Genomic DNA, 7,008 nt, shown 5'->3' on the forward strand with positions numbered 1-7,008 from the left:
GGCATGTGCCACCATGCCCGGCTAATTTTGTATTTTTAGTAGAGACAGGGTTTCTCCGTGTCGGTCAGGCTGGTCTCGAACTCTCGACCTCAGGTGATCCACCTGCCTCAGCTTCCCAAAGTGCTGGGATTACAGGCGTGAGCCATTGCACTGCTAAGCTAATTTTTTTTTTTTTTTTCCTGAGGCGGAGTCTCGCTGTGTTGTCTGGGCTGGAGTGCGGTGGCAGGATCTCAGCTCACTGCAAGCTCCGCTTCCTGGGTTCACGCCATTCTCCTGCCTCAGCTTCCCGAGTAGCTGGGACTACAGAAGCCTGCCACAACTCGGCTAATTTTTTTGTATTTTTAGTAGAGACAGGCTTTCACCATGTTGGCTAGGATGGTCTCAATCTCCTGACTTCGTGATCCGCCTGCCTCGGCCTCCCAAAGTGCTGGGATTACAGGTATAAGCAACTGCGCCCGGCCCTGCTAAGCTAATTTTTAAAATGTTTTTGCAAATATGAGGTCTCCCTGTATTGCCCAGTTTGGTCTCAAACTCCTGGCCTCAAGTGGCCTTCCTCATGTGGCATCCCAAAGTGCTGGGATTACAGGTGTGAGCCACCACACCTAGTCCCAGAAAGATATTCTTGAACAAGAAATAAATCACAGCCAGATGCGGTGGCTCACACCTGTAATCCCAGCACTTTGGGAGGCCTGAGGCTGATGGATCACCTGAGGTCAGGAATTTAAGACCAGCCTGGCCAACATGGTGAAAACCTGTCTCTACTAAAATACAAAAATTAGCCCGGCATGGTGGCCACGCCTTTAATCCCAGCTACTCAGGAGGCTGAGGCAGGAGAATGGCTTGAACCCGGGAGGTGGAGGTTGCAATGAGCCGAGAGCATGCCATTGCACTCCAGCCTGGGCATCAGAGCCAGACTCCATCTCAAAAAAAAAAAAAAAGAAAAGAAAAAAAACCCAGAAAACCCAAATCAGAGAGCCATTAAGACAAAAAAAAAAAAAAGACTAATAAATTTGACTCCATCAAAAATTAAAACTCGGCCAGGCGTGGTGGCTCACGCCTGTAATCCCAGCACTTTGAGAGGCCGAGGTGGGTGGATCATGAGTTCAGGAGTTGGAGAACAGCCTGGCCAACATAGTGAAACCCTGTCTCTACCAAAAATACAAAAAAATTAGCTGGGCGTGGTGGCGGGTGCCTGTAATCCCAGCTACTTGGGAGGCTGAGGCTGGAGAATCATTGGTTGAACTAGGGAGGCAGAGGTTTCAGTGAGCCAAGTCATGCCATTGCACTCCAGCCTGGGCAACAAGAGCGAAACTCCATCTCAAAAAAAAAATGCATATGTTTCAGCTCAGCAACCCCACTTCTCTATTCTCAAATAATACACATATGTATGTTTAAAGAGGTATGTACAAGAATGTTCACTGTCAACACTCTTGGTAATAGCAAAAAAACTGGAAACAATCATCATTTCCATGAAAAAAAGAATAGCTAAATAAACTATGCCCACACTATGCTATTCTACATAACAGTTAATAATGAGGATATGTATATTGATATGAAAAGATCAAGATGTAGTTAAATAAAAAAATGCAACCGGGTGCAGTGGCTCCCACCTATAATTCCAGCACTTAGGGAGGCCAAGGCAGGAGGCTCACTTGAGGCCAGGAGTTTGAGACCAGCCTGGGCAACAGAGCATGACCCCATCTCTACAAAAAATTTTTAAAAATTAGCCAGGTGTGGTGGTACATACCTGTAGGCGGTGGTAGGATTGCTTGAAGTAAGGAGTTCAAGATTACAGTGAGCTGTGATCACATATCTCTAAAAAAATTTTTTTTTTAAGATGGAGTCTCGCTCTGTCGCCCAGGCTGTAGTGCAATGGTGCAATCACAGCTCACTGCAGCCTCAACTTCCCTGGCTCAGGTGATCCTGCCACCTCAGCCTCCTGAGTAACTGGGACTACAGGTGAGCAACAACACACCCAGCTAATTTATTTATTTATTTATTTATTTATTTATTTATTTATTTATTTAATTTATTTATTTTTTGAGAAGGAGTCTTGCTGTCACCCAGGCTGGATTGCAATGGCACACAATCTTGACTTACTGCAACCACCACTTCCCAGGTTCAAGCAATTCTCTTGCCTCAGCCTCCTTAGTAGCTGGGATGAAAAGTGTATGCCACCATGCCTGGCTAATGTTTGTATTTTTAGTAGAGACGGGGTTTCGCCATGTTGGCCAGGCTGGTCTCAGACTCCTGACCTCAGGTGATCCACCTGCCTTGGCCTCCCAAAGTGCCGGGATTACAGGTGTGAGCTACCGCGCGTGGCCTGATTTTTTGTATTTTTAGTAGAGACAGGGTTTTGCCATGTTCTCCCAAAGTACTGGAATTACAGGTGTGAGCCACTGTGCTTGGCCCCTGTACAATTTTAAAATTTAAAAAAAAATTAAAAATACCTGGAGTTCTGGCCTTGAAAATCCCATCCTTGTGGGCGCTCCTTCCAGTCTTGAGGAGTGAACCTGGCCATCAGTGATTCTGAAGAAGCAATGGCCACAGAGAACCCCAGCACAGCAAACTGAGAAACTGCCATTTTTGTTGTATTTTATTATTTCCTCTAGAGATGGGGGGGGGGGTCTCAACATATTGCCCAGGCTGGTCTTGAACTCCTGGACTCAAGCAATCCTCCTGCCTCAGCCTCCCATAGTGCTGTATTACAGGTGTGAGCCCCCTTGCCTGGCCTGGCCATCTATATTTCTTTTGTTTGTTTGTTTTTCATTTTTGAGACAGAGTCCCACTCTGTCTTCCAGGCTGGAGTGCAATGGTGTCATCTCAGCTTACTGCAACCTCTGCCTCCTGGGCTCAAGCCATTCTCCTGCCTCAGCCTCCCAAGTAGCTGGGATTACAGGTGCCCGACACCACGCCCAGCTAATTTTTGTGTTTTTAGTAGAGACGGGGTTTCACCATATTGGCCAGGCTGGTCTTGAACTCCTGACCTCAGGTGATCCACCCGTCCTGGCCTCCCAGAGTGCTGGGATTACAGGTGTAAGCCACCACACTCGGCCTTTTTTTCCCAATGTTTTTTTTTTTTTTTTTTTCTCAGAGACCTTTGTTCTGAGATCTTTATTTCTTCTCCCTGTTCTTTTTCCTTGTCTAGTCTACCTCACAAATCATTTCATGATTAATTTTCCTAAAGCAAAGGGCAAATATTTATTAAGCATTTGCCATTATTTGTACTCAGTATTTGGTAATGGCAGGAATGTTTGAAGAAAGTTAATATGATAGTAATATGGAGCAATGTGAAGTTAAGAAGAGAGGGAGATGGCAACCAATCAAAAGACTATATCAGGCCGGGCTTTATTCATCCTGTTCAGAGGTGGTCACAGCTTCCCAATGCCTACAAAATAAAGGCCAAATTCCTGAGCCTAATATCCAAGACCGTCCATTCTATCCTCAACATACCTTTCTGATCTCTTCATTACTTCTTCCCATTAAAAGCCTCCAATTCAGCCAATTTTTTTTTTTTTTTTGACATGGGGGTCTCGCTGTGTCTCCCAGGGTGGAATGCATGACACCACCATAGCTCACTGCAGTCTCAAAACTCCTGGGCTCATGTGGTCCTCAGCTTCCTAAGTAGCTGCAACTACAGGTGTGCACCACCACATGCAGCTTCAGCCTGGCTTTCGCATGTGTGCGTACCTCTGTTCACAGTTACTTCTCCTGTCTCCTTAAATCTTGCTTCCTTTATTTATTGATTGATTGAATGATTTATTGAGACGGAGTTTTGCTCTTGTTGCCCAGGCTAGAGTGCAGTGGCGCAATCTCAGCTCACTGCAAGCTCCGCCTCCTGGGTTCACGCCATTCTCCTGCCTCAGCCTCCCCAGGACTACAGGTGCCTGCCACCACACCCAGCTAACTTTATTGTATTTTTAGTAGAGACGGGGTTTCACCATCTTGGCCATGCTGGTCTTGAACCCCTGACCTCGTGATTCACCCGCCTCGGCCTCCCAAAGTGCTGGGATTACAGGCTTGAGCCCCTGTGCCCGACAAGGGGTGCGTGTTTTTTAAAACATGGGAGAGGGAATTGTGCTTCAGAATCACCACCAGCTGTTGCAACATCGGGTGCCACTCCATCCCGCTTCTGAGGCACGACGGAGCACTTTGGGAGGCCGAGGCGGGTGGATTACCTGAGGTCAGGAGTTCGAGACCAGCCTGACCAAAATGGTGAAACCTGGTCTCTACTAAAAACACAAAAAATTAGCCAGACGTGGTGGCGCATGCCAGTAATGCCATCCATCTACTTGGGAGGCTGAGGCAGGAGAATCGCTTGAACCCCAGAGGCGAGGTTGTGGTGAGCCGAGATCGTGCCATTGCACTCCAGCCTGGGAAACGAGCGAAATTCCGTCTCAGGAAAAAAAAAATTTTTTTTAAAGGAAAAAAAACCCCTCTTTTTCTAGCCGGAAATACCCTCTTTCAGGAAGGCGCGCCTGTGCCGCATACGCACACTCAGTTACTTAGCAAAGTCTGGGCTAAACCACCCAAGGCGGAGCCCAGGAACAACAGAGCCACCGCATCCCCCACCAATCAGCGCCGACCTCGCCTTCGCAGGCCTAACCAATCAGTGCTGGTGCTGCAAGAAAGTTTCCAGAGCTTTCGAGGAAGGTTTCTTTAACTCGAATTCATCCGCCCAATAATTTTCTTATATTTTCCTAAAGAAGAGAAGTGCATAGAGGAGAAGGGACATAATTTGTTAGGATCCTTTCTTACGCTATGGGAATTTGGGGCTCAGTTGAAAAGCCTGAACTGCGTCTGGGGATGTTGGGCGCGGCGAACTACTTTCAGTGGCGCACGGAGACGGTGTCTATGTAAGAAGTGATAACGCAACACACCTTGCACAAATTTGCGCTCTGCCAAACCAGAGCATTCAGGCACGACTGGCTTTGTTGGGTGAGGTTGTTGTGGTGTTCCTGTGGCTGGACGTGATTCGCAGCATCCTCGTATCCGCTAACAGGTACTGGCCCACAGCCGTAAAGACCTGCGGGGGCGTGAGAGGGGGGAATGGGTGAGGTCAAGCTGGAGGCTTCTTGGGGTTGGGTGGGCCGCTGAGGGGAGGGGAGGGCGAGGTGACGCGACACCCGGCCTTTCTGGGAGAGTGGGCCTTGTTGACCTAAGGGGGGCGAGGGCAGTTGGCACGCGCACGCGCCGACAGAAACTAACAGACATTAACCAACAGCGATTCCGTCGCGTTTACTTGGGAGGAAGGCGGAAAAGAGGTAGTTTGTGTGGCTTCTGGAAACCCTAAATTTGGAATCCCAGTATGAGAATGGTGTCCCTTCTTGTGTTTCAATGGGATTTTTACTTCGCGAGTCTTGTGGGTTCGGTTTTGTTTTCAGTTTACCTAACACCGTGCTTAGGTTTGAGGCAGGTTGGAGTTCGGTCAGGGGAGTTTGAATATCCAGAACAGGTAGTGGAGAAAGTTGTGGACGCTTGGTTAGAGAGCGCTCTGGATTCTCCACTGTTGACATTGAAACCTTGAGTGACGAATTTTGTATTAAGTGACTTAGCCTCATAAAAATCAGGGGAGGTTTGCGGAATGTTACCATGTTTAAGGCATTTTGAAGGAGTAGTTGCTAACTTTGAAGCATATTAGATGTAAAAGCAAGAAATACAATGATCCTGAGATGACACGCTTATGTTTTACTTTTAATCTAGGTCAAAATGCGGATCTTCGTGAAAACCCTTACCGGCAAGATCATCACCCTTGAAGTGGAGCCCAGTGCCACTATCGAAAATGTCAAAGCCAAAATCCAAGATAAAGAAGGCAATCCCTGTGACCAGCAGAGGCTCATCTTTGCAGGCAAGCAGCGGGAAGATGGCCGCAGTCTTTCTGACTACAACATCCAGAAAGAGTCGACCCTGCATCTGGTCCTGCGTCGGAGAGGTGGTATGCAGATCTTCGTGAAGACCCTGACCGGCAAGACCATCACCCTGGAAGTGGAGCCCAGTGACACCATCGAAAATGTGAAGGCCAAGATCCAAGATAAAGAAGGCATCCCCCCCGACCAGCAGAGGCTCATCTTTGCAGGCAAGCAGCTGGAAGATGGCCGCAGTCTTTCTGACTACAACATCCAGAAAGAGTCGACCCTGCATCTGGTCCTGCGTCTGAGAGGTGGTATGCAGATCTTCGTGAAGACCCTGACCGGCAAGACCATCACCCTGGAAGTGGAGCCCAGTGACACCATCGAAAATGTGAAGGCCAAGATCCAAGATAAAGAAGGCATCCCCCCGATCAGCAGAGGCTCATCTTTGCAGGCAAGCAGCTGGAAGATGGCGGTACTCTTTCTGACTACAACATCCAGAAGGAGTCGACCCTGCACCTGGTCCTGCGTCTGAGAGGTGGTATGAAGATCTTCGTGAAGACCCTGACTGGAAAGACCATCACCCTGGAGGTGGAGCCCAGTGACACCATCGAAAATGTGAAAGCCAAGATCCAGGATGAAGAAGGCATCCCCCCCGATCAGCAGAGGCTCATCTTTGCAGGCAAGAAGTTGGAAGATGGCCGCACTCTTTCTGACTACAGCATCCAGAAAGAGTCGACCCTGCACCTGGTCCTGCGCCTGAGGGGTGGCTGTTAATTCTTCAGTCTTGCATTAGCAGTGCCCACTGATGGCATTACTCTGCACTATAGCCATTTGCCCCAACTTAGGTTTAGAAATTACAAGTTTCAGTAATAGCTGAACCTGTTCAAAATGTTAATAAAGGTTTCGTTGAATGGTAGCATACTTGGTGTTTTGTCATGATATTCTCTAGTGATGTGTGGGTACACTTAAAACTGGTGAAAATGTCTAGGGAGGGATTTAATTTTGAGATTGGTAATGTGCCCAAAGTTAAGTCACTTGACTCTGGTATACACTTGGGTGGGCTGAGGGGTAAGAGCCTTCTTTGCTGTAAGTCATTACAAGTTAGGATCCTGGACTAATGGCAAACTTTCTGAAGCTCGAATTTAAAGTCTGTTGG

At 47.9% G+C, this 7,008-nt stretch overlaps 1 pseudogene across 2 annotated transcripts in view; it reads left to right on the top strand.

The window, feature by feature from the left end:
* Positions 1-6,768, top strand: part of UBBP4 (ubiquitin B pseudogene 4) — a 114,402-nt pseudogene extending 107,634 nt beyond the window's left edge. The window contains exons 1-2 of one of the 2 annotated variants that reach the window (NR_144546.2): positions 4,612-5,002; positions 5,704-6,768. The product of NR_144546.2 is annotated as a ubiquitin B pseudogene 4, transcript variant 2 (transcript). Of the gene's footprint in view, positions 1-4,611; positions 5,003-5,703 lie in introns of those variants that run through there. The other variant, NR_176224.1, reaches the window with a different exon arrangement.
* Positions 6,769-7,008: the final 240 nt, after the last annotated feature.

The sequence above is a fragment of the Homo sapiens genome, chromosome 17, assembly GCF_000001405.40.
Source record: "Homo sapiens chromosome 17, GRCh38.p14 Primary Assembly".
Taxonomy (NCBI): Eukaryota; Metazoa; Chordata; class Mammalia; order Primates; family Hominidae; genus Homo; species Homo sapiens.